The following is a 16,392-nucleotide window of genomic DNA, read 5'->3' on the forward strand; positions in this document are numbered from 1 at the left end:
TCTCCTCTGTCCCCATCTTGCGAAGATGGCAACATTTCCAAGAGTTTTCACTGACTCATCTGTCGATGTCTAATTTATAACCATGTCGGCATTTCCCTTGCCATGACCATAACATGAAAGTAAGAAATGGTTATGTAAACTACGCTATGCCCCTGCCTCGGTTTCCCCTCTCTAAGGATATATATAAAAGTCCATTTTTTGTGCGTGCACACAGATGCAGCCACTTCTACTGTGGCTCCGGATTCCTTAGAAGATGCTAGGCTCTCTTTTATTTGTACATTTCTTATTACATGAGTCATTTCCGAAGAGCACTAGGTATAATGAGAACAATAGAAGTTGGGTGTGAAATTGTGAGGAAAATGATAGCAATTACTGCATACCCAGATCATAGCTCTGAAAAAATTGCTGAGGACAGGAATTAAGATGATGAAGCTTTTTAAGTCTTCTAAGTACAACTCTTTGAAACCCACTATCTTTTAAAAACATCGTAATGATCTTACAATCATGACTTCAAACAGGTCTTAATGAAACCCACAGAGAAAGGCACGCACAACTTCTCAGTGCTGAGAAGAGGTTCATTTAGAAAATTAATAGAAAGTAGACCAGTCCCTACACGCAGCCATCCTGTTGTGACAATAAATTATTACATTGTTGAAGGCTTTTATAAAATTAGATACCTTGGTAGCAAGGAAAATGAAACCCTTCTCATTTATCGGAAGGATCAGTGGCAACTGAAATAACTCTATCCTGGGAGAGGATTAAATTCTAACCTTTCCAAAAAAAAAAAAAATGTCATTTAAATGAAAAAGCCGATCTAAGACAGTGCTTCATGCCGGAGCCTGAGCCTGCCTGGGAGATGTGTGATGATGATAGGCATTCTGCTTGCCTGTTCCTGCAGATCCTAACAAGATGATGTCTTCCTTATCCACCTGCCTGTTTCACATCCAGGCTGGGTGACAGCTGATAGCCAGCAGCTTAGAGCAGGGAGCAGCCTAGCTGGTTTGAACTAGTTTAAAATGACACAAGTAGCTTCCTTATCACATATTTTGATAGGTTCATGGCTCCCATAACAGATACCCCGGGAAAAATATCTTTGGTATAATTTTAAATGCTCAGCTCCCTCCTTGAAAAGCATATCAACCATCTCAATCTAATTAAATTCCAGAGAAGACTTCTGTTCTGACGCCCCCCGCCCTAGAACACTGAGCACTGGGTAACGCTAGCTCACTGGAATTTGGTTTGTGTGTTGGTCTTGCCTAGACTAGAAGGTCTGTATGTTCTGAAGTTCCTTGATGACTGACATTCTCTTCTTGCTCAAAAGAGCCTTCGCTTAAGCATTGGCCTTTCACATCTATCTTCATGCAGAGCGTACTTGACAAGGGGCACACAGCCCAGCCTGGAACATGTATTGACAATGCCTTTATTAATGGGCTTTGTGCCTTTTCTCATAAAATGTCCAGGAAGCCTTCTTCTGCTTCTTTATTGCCCTAGGGAGAAATGACGGTGGAAAAAGCTCAAATCCCGAAACTACAGACACCAAAGAGCTGGTGTTTTTTCAGGTGAGTTGGCTAGAAAAGACCTTAATGGTGACTCAGACAGGCCTCTCATTTTGTAAATGAGAAAACGAAGAAACAGGGAAGTTTTGAAATTTCCCCATCAAACAGCATTACTCCCATGCCTAGAATACTTCGGTGGCTTCTTGTTTCTTGTGATAATTGTCTTAGAATGCTCCCTAGACAGTGAGAAGCCCTTGCCTACCAAAGTGGAGAGGTGGCACGAAGGAGGGCTAAGGCCCTGGCCTATTGCCCCACCTGGGCCCCAAGCCAACAGCCAGCCACAGCCAACCAACCTAGCAAGTGGGCCATTGTGGAAATGAGTCCTCCAGCCGCAGCTGAGCTCCCCCAGCTAAAGCCATGTGGAGCAAAGGTGAGCTGACCCACTCAAACTGCAGATTCCCCTGTCCAAACTGCAGAATCATGAGCAAATAAATGGTCACCGTTGTTTTAAGCCACTTTGTTTTAGGGTGGTTTGCTATGTAGCAATAGATGACCAAAGTACTCTCTGAAATGATCTCGTTCATGTATTCACCTACTTATCTGCAGTCTGCCTCCCCTTGCTCCCACCTCCTCAGTTAGGACAGACATTCCAGGAATGTACCACTCTTGTTCATCACAGGATTTGCAGGACTCAGCACAGTGCCTCACCCCCCATATGCACTTGGTAAATAGTTGTTGTGTGAATGAATGAATGAGAAAAGTCATAACGAGTTTGGATCAGTTAGTCCTAAAAGCCCAGTGTCCTGCGTAGAATCTTCACCTGGCTGCATTGCCCCCAGGCACCACTATTATTCCACTTTCTCCCCCCTGCATCATTATCTTGGGTCCTTCGTACAGATTCAAGTCCCAGGACCTGCCTGCCTTACTGGAGAATATGTCATTGATTCCTAAGAGAACATGCTCAAGGCTGAACACATCCAAAGCTCATCCATCCAAGATCTGCTTTTCCATAGAGACTTCCAATAATCATAACATTTATTGAGCGTGTCTATCGGCCAAGCACCATGTTCAGTCCTCAATGTGTATTAGCTCATTTAATCCTTTTCGTACCCCCTATGAGATGGGTCTATTACTTTTACATACGGGAACATGGAGGCCGGGAGAGATTCAGTGACTTGCCAAAGGTCACTGGACCAGTGAGTGGCACAGCTGGGTTGTGCATCCTCAGGGAATGGGAAGAGGAACCTTCTTCCTGCCCTGGAGACCAAGCCCTCTTTTGCTGGTTTAATTAGTACTGAGCGTGGCCACCCATCTGTCTCTGGTCTTCCTCACTAAGGAAATGAGATTGCCCCCTGGGGGTGGAGGATGATATTACCATGGGGTTCCTGAAATGGGGACAGTCCTATTCTCAAAGGCTGGGAAGGTAATGGAGCAAATAGTTTATCTACTGCTGAAGCTAAAAGTATCCAGCAGAAATCCAGCCCAACTATTAAGGCATCATTGTCTTTTGGCAGAAGCTAGTGTCTGGGTAGGGGGAGATGGCTTGGCCGTCACGCAGAAAAAATCAAGCCATTTGAGCTAGAGCCTCAGCCTAGATGAGAGCCACACAGCTCTCCTCCCAGGGGCTTCGTCTACCCTCCACCACTCTACAGTCAGTTCAGTGCTGCAGACATCTCCAAGGCATCCAGTGTGATGAGGGTATTGTGCTGGGTAAGACCCTGCTCTTCGATTGCCAGAAAAGCAGAGCCTAAGAATAGGCAGTGTCCGGAAGAGAGGGTGCAGAAGTCCCCTCAGGCCTGGAGGCCTTTATTTCCGATGGATCTGAAAAAGCTATTGGGTCCCATACCAAGAAAGCAAACAAAAAGTATCTTCTTTGTCTTATTTTCCTGTATTGAGGCAGAAAACCTGGCTGAAAGGCACCCTCCTTCAGAGCCCCATGGCCTTTGGGGCTTAGCATCCCCCAACAGAAGTGGAATAACAGAAGCAGCCATCTGGCCTGGCATGAACAAGCAGAGTCTCCACCTCACAGGCTTGTCTGTGCCAGCATGGGTGCCTTTTATCTTTCCCTCTGGTCATTGCCCTACAACCCACATTCTGTCTCTGCAGGCAGCTTCCTAAGACTGGTGGGAATTACATGCCTGGATAGAGAATGGGAGTGGGGAGAAATGCTTCCCTCTGAAGCTCCAGGTCACAGCAAGATACTGACAATCAAAGAGAAGACAAGCTGAGCGTAGTGGTGGTGCATGCCTGTGGTCCTAGCTACTCAGGAGGCTGAGGCAGGAGGATTGCTTGAGCTCAGGGATTTGAGGCTGCAGTGAGCTATGATTGTGTCCCTGCACTCCACCCTGGGAGGCAGAGCGAGACCCTGTATCTAAAAAATATTAAAAATAAAAATAAAAGGCCAGGCACGGTGGCTCACACCTATAATCCCAGCACTTTGGGAGGCCGAGGCAGGCGGATCACCTAAGGTCAGGTGTTCGAGACCAACCTGGCCAACATGGTGAAACCCCATTTCTACTAAAAACACAAAAATTAGCCGGGTGTGGTGGCAGGTGTCTGTAGTCCCAGCTACTCGGGAGGCTGAGGCAGGAGAATTGCTTGAACCCAGGAGGCGGAGGTGGCAGTGAGCCAAGACTGTGCCACTGCACTCCAGCCTGGGTGACAGAGCAAGACTCCGTCTCAAAAAATAAAAATAAAAGAGACAGAAGACATACAGACACCTTGGCGTGTTCTGAGTCAGGGAATTAGCACGTCAAGAATGAATCTGCCTTGGATCCCGGCCACATAAGAGCAGAGTGAAGGAAGGGGGCTCTGCAGACTGCGGCTGCCCACAGACACCCTGGGACAATGGTCCATTCAGGTGGATTACTGAGGCTCACGAGAAAAACCTACATTCCCTGAATAACGTGAGTAAACAGCTAATGGTGCTGAAAAAAATGGCTGCACCAGACACAGGTTCTCTTGAAAAATGGTTCTGTATCCTTAATTAGTGTTTTTAAGCACAAACAAAAGGAAAGCAGTAATTATCCTCGCCTATTCCTTAACGTCAAATTTAGAAACACACCATCCTGAGCTATTAACAAGTTCCGCCATATGCTCAAGGAGACCGTAAGATCTTCTTTAATGCTTCCAAGTGGAGCTGAAAAATTGTGAAAGTTCTGAAATTTTTTTATAGATTTGAAAAGTGAGAAGAGACTTTTAACCTAAGCCTTGTTACTTTTAGCCCAGCAGAGAGCTTCGATTCCTGGGCTCCAGGAGTCATCAGAACTGCGCTGACGTCCTGGCTGCCACAGCCCAGCTGGGGGACCCAGGGTACGTTTCTTAACCTCTCTCACCTGCAGGTTCCTTTTCTATCAAATGAGGCTGAGTCATGTGGATTATACGGTGGGCTTCCACAGAGCCTGCACAGAGACTCAGACGTGTGTCAGCGTCGATCCTGCCTCCGTCAGGCTGAGAGGGTGGCCCCGGGTCTTAGGACAAAGAACAGTCCCATTCACTGGGTACACTTGAAACTTCACCTTTGAGGCTGGTGTTATTATGCACTTTTGATTCAAGAGGAAACTGAGGTTGTAGCAACATGGAAGGCGCGCCCCAGGCCACACTGGGAGGAAGGAGTGGCGGGGTGCTCTGCAGAATACAGGCGTTTCCACTGCTAGTCCACAGGACAGGGTCCCTGTTGGGGCAGATCTGGCAGAGGGCAGAGGGCAGCCATTTAAAAAACAAAGGAAGACATTTATGTAGCCAACAAACATATGAAAAACAGCTCATCATCACTGGTCATTAGAGAAATGCAAATCAAAACCACAATGAGATACTATCTCACGTCAGTTAGAATGGCGATCATTAAAAAGTCAGGAAACAACAGATACTGGAGAGGATATGGAGAAATAGGAATGCTTCTACACTGTTGATGGGACTGTAAATTAGTTCAACCATTGTGGAAGACAGTGTGGCGAATCCTCAAGGACCTAGAGCCAGAAATACCATTTGACCCAGCAATTCCATTACTGGGTATATACCCAAAGGATTATAAATCATTCTACTATAAAGACACATGCACATGTATCTTTTTTATTTTTTATTGCAGCACTATTCACAATATCAAAGATTTGGAGCCAACCCAAATGCCCATCAGTGATAGACTGGATAAAGAAAATGTGGCATATATACACCATGGAATACTATGCAGCCATAAAAAAGGATGAGTTCACGCCCTTTGCAGTGACATGGATGAAGCTGGAAACCATCATTCTCAGCAAACTAACACAGGAACAGAAAACCAAACACCACACGTTCTCACTCATAAATGAGAGTTGAACAATGAGAACACATGGACACAGGGAGGAGAACATCACACACCAGGGCCTGTCGGTGGGTGGAAGGCTAGGGGAGGGATAGCATTAGCAGAAATACCTAATGTAGATGACGGGTTGATGGGTGCAGCAAACCACCATGGCACATGTATACCTATGTAACAAAGCTGCACATTCTGCATATATATCCCAGAACTTAAAGTATAATAATAAAAAAAGAATACCTTTCCAATCCTCAAAGTTGTTCCCTCTGAGTAGTAAACATGAATAAATTACTAATATGTTATTATTTTCAAATTTTAATTAGACAAATGCTAGTATGGCTATAATTTACAGTTAAATTTCAGGAAAATATTTCTCACTCCTTAAGAATGGGTATTCTCCCTTTTTAAATAGAATTCATTTTTAGCTGGAAGCAAAGCTACTCAGAATAGAAACAACATCTTTCTGGTTCCTTTGCAACCAGTTATAGCTATAACTTCTGGCCAACAGGGTGTAAGGGGAAGCATAGTGTGCAGTTTTCTCTTTTGTCCTGCTTCCTGCTGATTGATAGGTGAATATGATGGCTGGAGCATGAGCAGCCATTTTGTACCATGAGGTTCAAACTAAGATTGGCAGATAGAAAGAGCCACAGTAATCATAAAGTCACCATCTCGGCCTAGATTGCCTATCCTTGGACATTTATAGGAGAGGGAAATAAACTCCTCCCTCATATAAACCCATGTTACTTTGGGCTTTTCTTTCACTCACAATCAAATCTAATCCTGCTTCATCTCCCTGCACATTCCAGATAGAATCATCTCCAACCACCATGACTCCTCTCTCACTATGTGGTTGGTGATCTTTTTTTTTTTTTTTCTTTTGAGATGGAGTCTCGCTCTGTCCCCAAGGCTGGAGTGCAGTGGCTCGATCTTGGCTCACTGTCACCTCCACCTCCTGGGTTCAAGCAATTCTCCTGCCTCAGCTCCTGAGTAGCTGGGATTACAGGTGCCCACCACCACACACCCAGCTAATTTTTGTATTTTTTGTAGAGACAGGGTTTCACCATGTTGGCCAGGCTGGCCTCAAACTCGTGACCTTAGGTGATCCGCCTGCCTTAGCCTCCAAAGTGCTGGGATTACAGGCATGAGACACTGCGCCCAGCTTTCGTTTTTGCTTTTTGTCTTTATTATTTTTACAAATCTCTCTCACTGAATATATGCCTTTATTTCAAGGTAGCAAACTCTGAAAACAGCATATAGATGATAAATCCACATAGCAGTTTTAAAAAAAATCCTTATTCTGAGTACACCGCAGTAAACTCCAACAGAGGTTTTTGTGACCTTAAAAGTACTTGAGGTCCGAAGGTACTTAAGTGAACAAGCAAGCGGATGGAGTCCATTTGCCATGACTCCTGGATACAATAGCTTAAGCCCTCTTAGCACACAGGTTTCCATGGTCCCCCCAGAATTAGTAAGAGAAGAGCCTATTAATAATCACTACGTCCCCTACCAAAACCAAAGTGCTTTAGCCAAGAACTTAGACACTCTGTTTGTGGTTTTAGTGTTTGTGCTTGAAAGACCCCCAGTGAGTTGAATGAGAAATATTGAGCTTCATCAAATTTCTTAGAAAACCTTTTTTTAAAAAAAAATTTATTTATTTATTTATTTTTGAGATGGAGTCTCGCTCTGTCGCCCAGGCTGGAGTGCAGTGGCACAATCTCGGCTCACTGCAAGCTCCGCCTCCCGGGTTCATGCCATTCTCCTGCCTCAGCCTCCCGAGTAGCTGGGACTACAGGTGCCCGCCACCACATCCAGCTAACTTTTTGTATTTTTTAGTAGAGATGGAATTTCACCATGTTAGCCAGGGTGGTTTCGATCTCCCGACCTCGTGATCCACCCGCCTCAGCCTCCCAAAGTGCTGGGATTACAGGTGTGAGCCACCGCGCCCGGCCTAGAAAGCCTTTTGACTTTCATCTGGTCTTTATACACGCCACGGGAAAACACTCACCCATTGCTTGTGCTACCACCTGAAAATGAAAGGAGATTGACATGTCAGGTAATTTAACTGATGGGACTAAAATCTCCGACTTTTCTTCCAGTCTCACTCTTCCTGGGACCTCTTGCAAAATAATCACGTATCCGGACATACCTGCAAAAAACATAAAACTGCCAGCATTGCCCCCCTTGTTTGGGGATTTACTGAAATTAGTTCTGTACTTCCTGAAGTTCGTACAAATATCAAAGGCATTTTATATAACAAACAATTTTGCCTCTCCTTCCGTCCCCCTAAATAAAGACCACGCTGACTTCACTGGCTGGCTCACAGGCACCGGCTGCCTGGCCTTCACCCCAACACTTGCTGAGATTTTTCCTCTAAAGTATTGCCAAGGAGGTGTTTGCCATTTTCCAAAATGCAACCCTGACAGGAATCACCAAATGACATTCACCAAAGGCAACTAAATAGAAAATAAAGTGTAAGAGCTTAAAACATTCCAAGTTCATGACCATTCATCACAAACCGACTTTCCTCAGAAGAAACAAGCACATAAATAGAATCCTGCTGACACAATCTCTCCACCATCCTTAAATATTCGTGTGTGTGTGGGTGTGTGTGTGTGATTGAGAGAGACAGAGAGAGAGGGAGAGAGAGAGATGCTGTTTTTGGTTTATTGATATTGATTTGGATGAGTGCTTTAAAATTTTTTTTCTGGGAGCTGTTACAAGTTTCACCTCGGGCTCAAAATGATTTTACAGTCAATCCTTAAGCCTGCACTTTCTCTTCTGGCGACTGTGTGTTTACGCCCCAGAGAGTGGACTCTTTGGACCTCCTCTGGGAAAATGACAGTGATGATCAAAGGGTAAGAAAACAAGGCCCAGGAAGAAACGTTCAAGGCATACTGGATTGATTTAGGCTGGAGAAGATGGTGAGGATAACCTTAATAACAACCTTCAGGTGTATAAAGACTCCTGAAAAGAGAGTCTTCATCCATTCTCCACCTCGAGAGAAGACATTCATGATTAAGGGCTGCAACAAGAATGGAGGATGAAGTTGAGCATGCAGGAGAATTTCTTGCCTGGCAGAATCATAAGTCATGCAATAGGCATCCTTGACTCATTGTCTGCACATCTTTTGAGGGACAGAAGCCGTTCACAGGCCCAGCGGATTCTGGCGCAGAGCTCCCTGAAGGCCACAGAACCACAGAATCGAGCTCAGGGTCTTGTGAGACATCTTTGTGGTGTGGCAACGGAAAACCAGCCCACCTCTTAACCCAAGGTGTTACGTCCTGCATCTCTCTGGGGTGGGTGGCTTCTTCTAGAGGTAGCATTTTGGAATTCTCTGAAAGCCCGCAGAGACAGGTGTTGCATGAGCAGCAAGCATTAGTCCCAATTTTAATAAAGCCCAGAGCTTCCTACCACAAGCTGCGTGGCACAGACAACCACCAATGCTACAGTGATACAGCCCCTCCCTAAAAGCATTTATGTTAATGAAAAAATAAATACTGTTTGGTAAAGCCAAGCACAATGCTATGTGAATGGGGAAAATAACCCATTTATTCCAATGTCTTTCTGATAATGGTCACTCGGAAAACTCGGATAAAGCCCTAAAAAACCCAAGAGGTCATGGGCAGTTTCAAGGCCTCGTAAATGGTAGCTGATTTCTCTTGTTTCCTGTTATAAATACAGTTTGGGTTCCGAGTGTAAACCGGGCCACTAATGCATAGTTACAGCTGATGCTATTACAAATGCATAAAAGTGAGGAAATTCAAAGTTATGATTCCCATTGCCACAGTAACTCAACCTCATCGTGCAATCTGTTTGTAGCGTGTACTACCGAATGTCGTGTTAACTTTTACTGCCTCTATTACATATGTGTGATGTGAAAAGGTTATGGTGGGAAAGGGAGTCATAATTCTGAATTTTCTGATAGTTACGACTTTAAAGTGAGTTTAAAATGACTACTCTTTCTTCATTTGGTTTTTCTTGTTCTGGTTGAGTCTGTTTTTCATCGAATCTTGGATTCTTGAGACCATTCTGGTAGATTCTTCATTTCAATACAGAGATTGATTATTTACTCCAGTGTAACAAATACTCAAATAGTTTAACACACCATCATGGGAAGAGTGGGGGGCTTCAAGGAATACAGAGATGACTAAATACCAGCCCTATTCACAGTTTCTCCATTCAGTCGAGGGCATGCAAATAATCATAGCCCGCAGTCTACAGCCACAATGGACACACACAGGTAAGATGAGAGTCATTCCTGATGGGGCTTCAGGCTTTGTGGAGGGAGAGAAAGAGAAGGGAATTAAAGTGTATTCATCCTCTACTAAAGGGGTCCTCAACCCCTGGGCTGTGGACTAGTGCCAGTCCGCGTGGCCTGTCAGGAACTGAGCCACACAGCAGGAGGTGAGCAGTGGGCAGACGAGCAGTACTGCCTGATCCACCTCCTCTCAGATCAGCAGCAGCATTAGATTCTCATAGGAGCACAAACCCTATTGCGAACTGCGCGTGCAAGGGATCTGGGTTACATGCTCTTTATGAGAATCGAACTAACGCCTGATGATCCGAGGTGGAACAGTTTCATCTCGAAACCATCCTCCTCTCCCCCTCACCTGTCCATGGAAAAATCATCTTCCCTAAAACTGGTACCTGGTGCCAAAAAGTTTGGGGACAGCTGCTCTACTACATAGCAATGTGTTAAGTGGTTTAGGACATTATATTTCACCCTCCACATTTTATAAGGCACTATCCCATATTACAGATGTGTTTCCGGAGGCTGCTTGGTCGAGGTAGCAGGGTCTGAACTTCAGTTCAAACATCTAAAAGCTCATACTCATTTTCTACTATTTTAAGTGGAATTTGGATTAGATCTTGAAGAATATGCATGTTTGGGCTTTTTTTTCTTATTATTAAAAAATATATTTGTTATTAAAAGTTTGGGAAACACAGTAGTAAAAACAAAAACAAAACCCACATGCATGACTCATTACCTCAAAATTACCACTATTTTAGTATCTTTTTTTTTTTTTTGAGACGGAGTCTCCCTCTGTCACCCAGGCTGGAGTGCAATGGTGCAGTCTCAGCTCACTGCAACCTCTGCCTCCTGGGTTCAAGCGATTTTCATGCTTCAGCCTCCCTGAGTAGCTGGGATTACAGGCGCCCGCCACCACACCTGGCTAATTTTTGTATTTTTAGTAGAGATGGGGTTTCACTGTGTTAGCCAGGCTGGTTTCAAACTCCTGACCTCAGGTGACCCACGTGCCTCGGCCTCCCAAAGTGCTGGGATTACAGGTATGAGCCACCATGCCCAGCCATTTTAGTAACTTTTCTTCAAAGATTTTTTTACTAAACCTAAGTTGGTGGGGTTTTTTGTTTTTGTTTTTGTTTTTGTTTTGGTGTGTGTATTGCTTATTGTATGATTCTTGTTCTTTTACATAAACAGGTTCATGGCCTTCCCTTTCCCTTTTCAGTGACTGTAAACTGTTCTAGGCTGGGGAGGAGCACAGCAGTGACGGGGGGGTGACAGCAGAGGTGTGCTGGCTGGTGGTGCAGCCAGGACCAAGCCTTGGACACCTGGGCAGGCCACAGAGCTTGACTGAAGTGTCTGAGAGCCAGGTGGGTCCTGGGCATACAGCCCCTCAAATGCCTGGTTTAGTAGTTAGGACTTTGTTCTGTAAGTCTCATATATGCACAACTAGCACATAGAGAGCAGCTAATAAATGTCACATACTCCTGAATGGGAAGATGCTGATGGCTCTTCATTCATTTATTTATCTGTTGAGAGATAGGACCTCACTCTGTTACCCGGGCTGGAGTATAGTGGTGAGATCACAGCTCACTGCAGCCTCGACCTCCCAAACCCAAGCTATTCTCCCACCTCAGCCTCCCAAGTAACTGGGACCACAGGAATGCACCACTACATCCAGTTAAGTTTTAAGTTTTTTGTAGAGACAAGGTCTCATTATGTTGCCCAGGTTGATCTTGAACTCCTGGACACAAGCAATCCTCCTTCCTTGACCTCTCAAAGTGCTGGAATTATAGGAGTGAACCACCATGTCCAGCCACTGATGGCTCTTGATTAGGGGAATGATATCACTGCAATTTTGCACTAGGACCATTATTCAGGCCACAAAACAAGGTGGGTGATGGAGGGCACTTAGAGGTTTCTACAGCACTGGAGAGTGAAGGAATCTCAACACAGACAGGTACAGGGGGAGGCAGACGGAAGAACATGGATGAGTGAAACATACACATTCTCCAGGAAGGTGTAAAAATACTGGAATCCCAAAACCAAGAGACCAGTGCAAGCTTTGGGTTGTAAGGGCAGGAAATAAAATTGAACTGCTTCCTATCTGCTTTTTAGATTCTCTTTGAGACCAGTTTCAGGTAAGAGAAACTTATGTTACCAGCCTAAGACAAACTTGCAATATATTTTATTAAATGTTCATGTTTTTACTACCTATTTTATACAGGGTGAGTATCTATTTGACCACATCTTGGCTCAGAATTCTCTTTTTCCTCCTCTCTAAAGTGGAGGTCAGAAGAGGCGGGTGACCCAGACACACTGAGGCTGGACTTCTTGAGAGGTGGATGGGAGAGAACACTGGAATTGCAGCCCTGGAATAGTCACATGGGCGGGCATCCCCCGTGTGCTTGGGTTGCCAGAACAAGGGGTCTTGATTCAGACCCCAAGAGAGGGTTCTTAGATCTTGTGCAGGAAGGAATTCAAGGTGAGTCACAGAGCACAGTGAGAAGAGATAGTTTTCTTGAAAGCTGCTCAGTTACAGAGTAGGGCATCCTCACAAAGCAAGAGGGGGAATGCCTTGTGTTTTAAGATTTTCTTATATCGGGGTCTTATCTATGTGAAAGCTAAGCTAAGCTATGTCTATGTGTGGGTGGGCTGACAGCATGACAAAATTTATTATTCTGCTGATTTAAAGAAAACTATCCTTAGCATGTTAGCGCATCAGCACACCAAAGCATAACTATAATTATCTTGAGAGCGTATATTGTTATGGATATTGGGACATCTGGACTTTCTGTTGTAGGAGTGTGTCTTTGCAGGTATCTCTAAGCTGTTTCCTCAATCATAAACCTCTTATGATGCTGGGTCGTGATTGGCGAGGAATGTGCCCCTTGTTAGTTAGTCTCAAGATAGCGCTGAACTTAAAATGATGTTCCTCTGGCTCTCCTAGGCTCCTGCTTCCCTAACAGTTGCATAAACGTCTATCATGTTCAGATCACCTGTTATTTATTTCCATAGCTCATCCTTTAGTAGATTGCAGACTCGTGCAGATGCAGAAAATATGTGTTGTCTTTGTATTCTAAGCACCTCAGTGCAATAGCAAATGGAGCAAGCACTGAATAAATTGTTCTTTAATGAAGATTTCAACAACAAGAAATAGTGTACATGTGTATGGATTGTGTATATCCATATACTCACATATATGCACGTGTGTGTGGAAATGTATATATAGTCATCTATAAATGGGTAGAGACACGTATAGATATTTTTGGGTGTATCTATTCATCTATTAAGCTTTACTTGTCGCGTGTCTGGTTGTACAGCTCCCATTGCTGACCATAACCGATGCAAGAAAGAGATCTTGGTTACTCATCAGTGCCTTATCCTCTAAACGGGTGGACCTGCTTCATGCAAGTGTTTCTGAAAGAAATTTTGTACAAACCAGATTTTTCTACATTAAATCCAATTCTAGATATACCTAAGGAGTCTGTATTTAATGTTTTTTACATATACTTTTGCAAAGTGAAGAGTCATTTCTATAAAGCGAATCATAAATCTTAAATGTATCTCTTTTCAAGTCCAAGTTTAATATATCAACTTTGCTTAAAGTTGGAGAATGCCTACCCCTCCACTTCAAACTTTGCTCATCTCTTTGGCAGGGGGGTGAGGATTTCCCTAGCTCACTTGTGCAGTGTGGGGATGCGGTAACACTGCTTAGATGGCAGCCTCTTTCATTCAATATTGTGACTTTTGTTTCTCTCCAGAGAGGGATAGAGAGAAAGGAGAGAGAGAATTTGGTCTGTGGCCTAGGTTGTCTTTTCAGGCCCTTATTCCTGCTTCTTCTGACACATGATTGTCAACATCTCTAGTGGGGTTGGAAAAGACTTTGAGGGGATGATTAGCTTGCTAGGACTGCCATAACACAATGCCACAGACTGGGAATCTTAAACAACAGAAATTGATTTTCTCACAGTTCTGGAGGATGAAGTCTGAGATCAAGGTGTCAGCAGGTTTGGTTTCTCCTGAGGCCTCCCTCAGTGGCTTGCAGACGGCCACCTTCTTGCTGTGCCCCACATGGTCTTTTCTTTGTGCACATGCATCCTTGCTGTCCCTTTCTGTGTCCAAACTTTCTCTTTTTATAAAGACATAGGTCAGATTGGATTAGGGCCCACCCTAATGGCCTCATATTGACATAATTACCTCTTTTGAGACCCTCTCTACAACTACAGTCACTCGGAGATACCAGGAATTAGGACTTGAACATATGAATTTTGGGGGATGGAACACAGTTCATCTCATAAGAGGAATACCTTGCCCAGCCTTGAAAGCAGCATCCCCCCAAGTCATGTGGAGCCGCAGACCCGGAGACAGAAGCATCTGCCTCCCAGTTCTTTCCTTCCTCTGGAACCTGCTCTTGCATCATGGGTACCCCAGCAGCACAGCTGAGAGCCCAAAACCTGTCTCTAAGATACCAAGCATCTGCCCAGGAAGAGAAGCATCCCCCTCAACCCTATGTAATTAATTCTCTATGCTGAAGTCCTTCCCTGGTGTTGATTCCCACTGCCTTCCCTATCCACCTATCCTCTGGTCCCCAGAAGGCACAGTGAGAAGCGGGCTGAGGCCCACAGGCAATTATGTAGATCCATGGATTCATAATTCAAAATAAACCCATCAAAACATTTGTTCTTACTTTTAACCCCGTTGTCCCCCAAGTGGAAATGTTAAGACACAACAGCAGAAGAGATAAATATGGCAGACAAAAGTTTTCCCACAGCCTTTAGCCCCTTAAACATTCTAATCCCATTGAAGATATTTATGCCTGGCCAAACACCGGGGCTGGGGGCTGGGCTCCTGCCGGCTGCCCCTTGCGGAGCCTGCCTGGCTTTGTAGAGACAGCTGCCTGTTGCTATGCGATTTGGTTACAGAAGGGCAATGCAGGGCACCTAACCCAAGTGCTTTTTTAACCAAACCACATGCTTATTAAAAGAATGGAGAAAGTTTCCATTAAAATATCTGGGCTGATTACATTTGGAAACTTAATAACATGTGTTGACTCAAATAACTCCCATTGAACTGAACCCCAGCAGGGCTCAGAGTTCACCAGGGGAACAAATATCTCTGATGAAGCTTGGCATCTTAACCCTGTTTAACATTTTAATTAAGAAGGGAAAATTCGGTGTCATTTGCTTTTCTGCGGTCTCCAGGAGCGGCAGGGTTCACGCTTGAGAATTCCTCCAAGAGTCCGGCGGAAAGAAATACATTAGCTAATTAGGGGTGATACAAAACATCTATACACAAGACATATACGCTCCCGTTCTGCTTTGCAGGCCAGCTTTTCCACTGCCCTCCCCTTTCCACGCTGATTCTTAAAAGAGGATGCTTGAGTATACCTTCTTTTTTTTTTTTTTTTTCTTTTAAATACTGTTAATTGAGAGTTAAATTGTTGCTTGAGTCTCTTACTCTACACAGCCAGAGAGAGGCGAGGAGAAAGCATCAAGCTACAGCCCCGTTCTTGGGAAATACTCGGAACGCAGTTACTTTAGAAAACAGGTCCTCAAGTCCCCATTTCATAACCAGAAAACTCATCATTTTCACTAGTATTTCCTTTTTCTAGCCAGGCGGACACTCTGGGAAATGCTTCTACTGATGACTCAGTTACGCAGAAAAACTTATCTTCCTTGTTTTGCAAATGAGCTTGCAAAACAGAGTTTAAAACAGCAGAGGCGGTTGCATCTACACCATACTTGGCTGGACTACTGGGTTTGTCCCTGTTCTCGAAAAGAAAAGAAAACGCAGCACACTGAGATAAGAAATAGTAGAAAATCCGTTTCACCAGAGATTTTTCAGTATATTTCCAAATCCAAAAAGTAACCAGCAGAGGCTCTTCTTTATTTATTTATTTTAGTTTGCTTTGCTTTGAAACCCTCAACCCCGAGTTTCTGTTAATTTTAAGCCCGGTTCTCCTTTGGATGTCCCTTCATCTACAACCCAGTCCTGGGCTGCTGTTTCCTTCCTGGGAATCCTCCCTGCCCTGTTTGGCCTGCTGTCTCCTTCGTGCCCCAGGGAAAACCATACTCCATCACCCCCTCCGCCCTGGACCCAAAAGGGATGAGGAACAACTGAACTATGTGTTAATTGCGTTACGGGGCTTTCTCTAATGCAATAGTGGCCTTCTCCATAGCAACCGTGATTAAAAGATGCAGAATGGCGGGTCCTCCAGGGCCTGTCTGTCTGGGAAGTGATTGCCACTTTACAGAACAATTCAGTCCAGATAGAAGTTTATTGTGCACATTTCGCCTAAGCTGACTGCTCAGGTCACATTCCCCAAAGCCTCTTTCTCTCCCTCTGAGCGCTAT

The 16,392-nt window shown here is 44.5% G+C and overlaps 2 annotated features.

Moving 5' to 3' along the window:
- Positions 1,322-1,823: an enhancer, noted in NCBI's record as "H3K4me1 hESC enhancer chr10:123455051-123455552 (GRCh37/hg19 assembly coordinates)". NCBI's record gives its function as "activates a minimal SCP1, AML or CMV promoter by ChIP-STARR-seq in primed H9 embryonic stem cells {active_cell/tissue: H9 hESC(primed)}" and the evidence as "EXISTENCE:reporter gene assay evidence [ECO:0000049][PMID:30033119]".
- Positions 1,824-2,323: an enhancer, noted in NCBI's record as "H3K4me1 hESC enhancer chr10:123455553-123456052 (GRCh37/hg19 assembly coordinates)". NCBI's record gives its function as "activates a minimal SCP1, AML or CMV promoter by ChIP-STARR-seq in primed H9 embryonic stem cells {active_cell/tissue: H9 hESC(primed)}" and the evidence as "EXISTENCE:reporter gene assay evidence [ECO:0000049][PMID:30033119]".

This window comes from Homo sapiens, chromosome 10 (genome assembly GCF_000001405.40).
Source record: "Homo sapiens chromosome 10, GRCh38.p14 Primary Assembly".
NCBI classification, from domain to species: domain Eukaryota; kingdom Metazoa; phylum Chordata; class Mammalia; order Primates; family Hominidae; genus Homo; species Homo sapiens.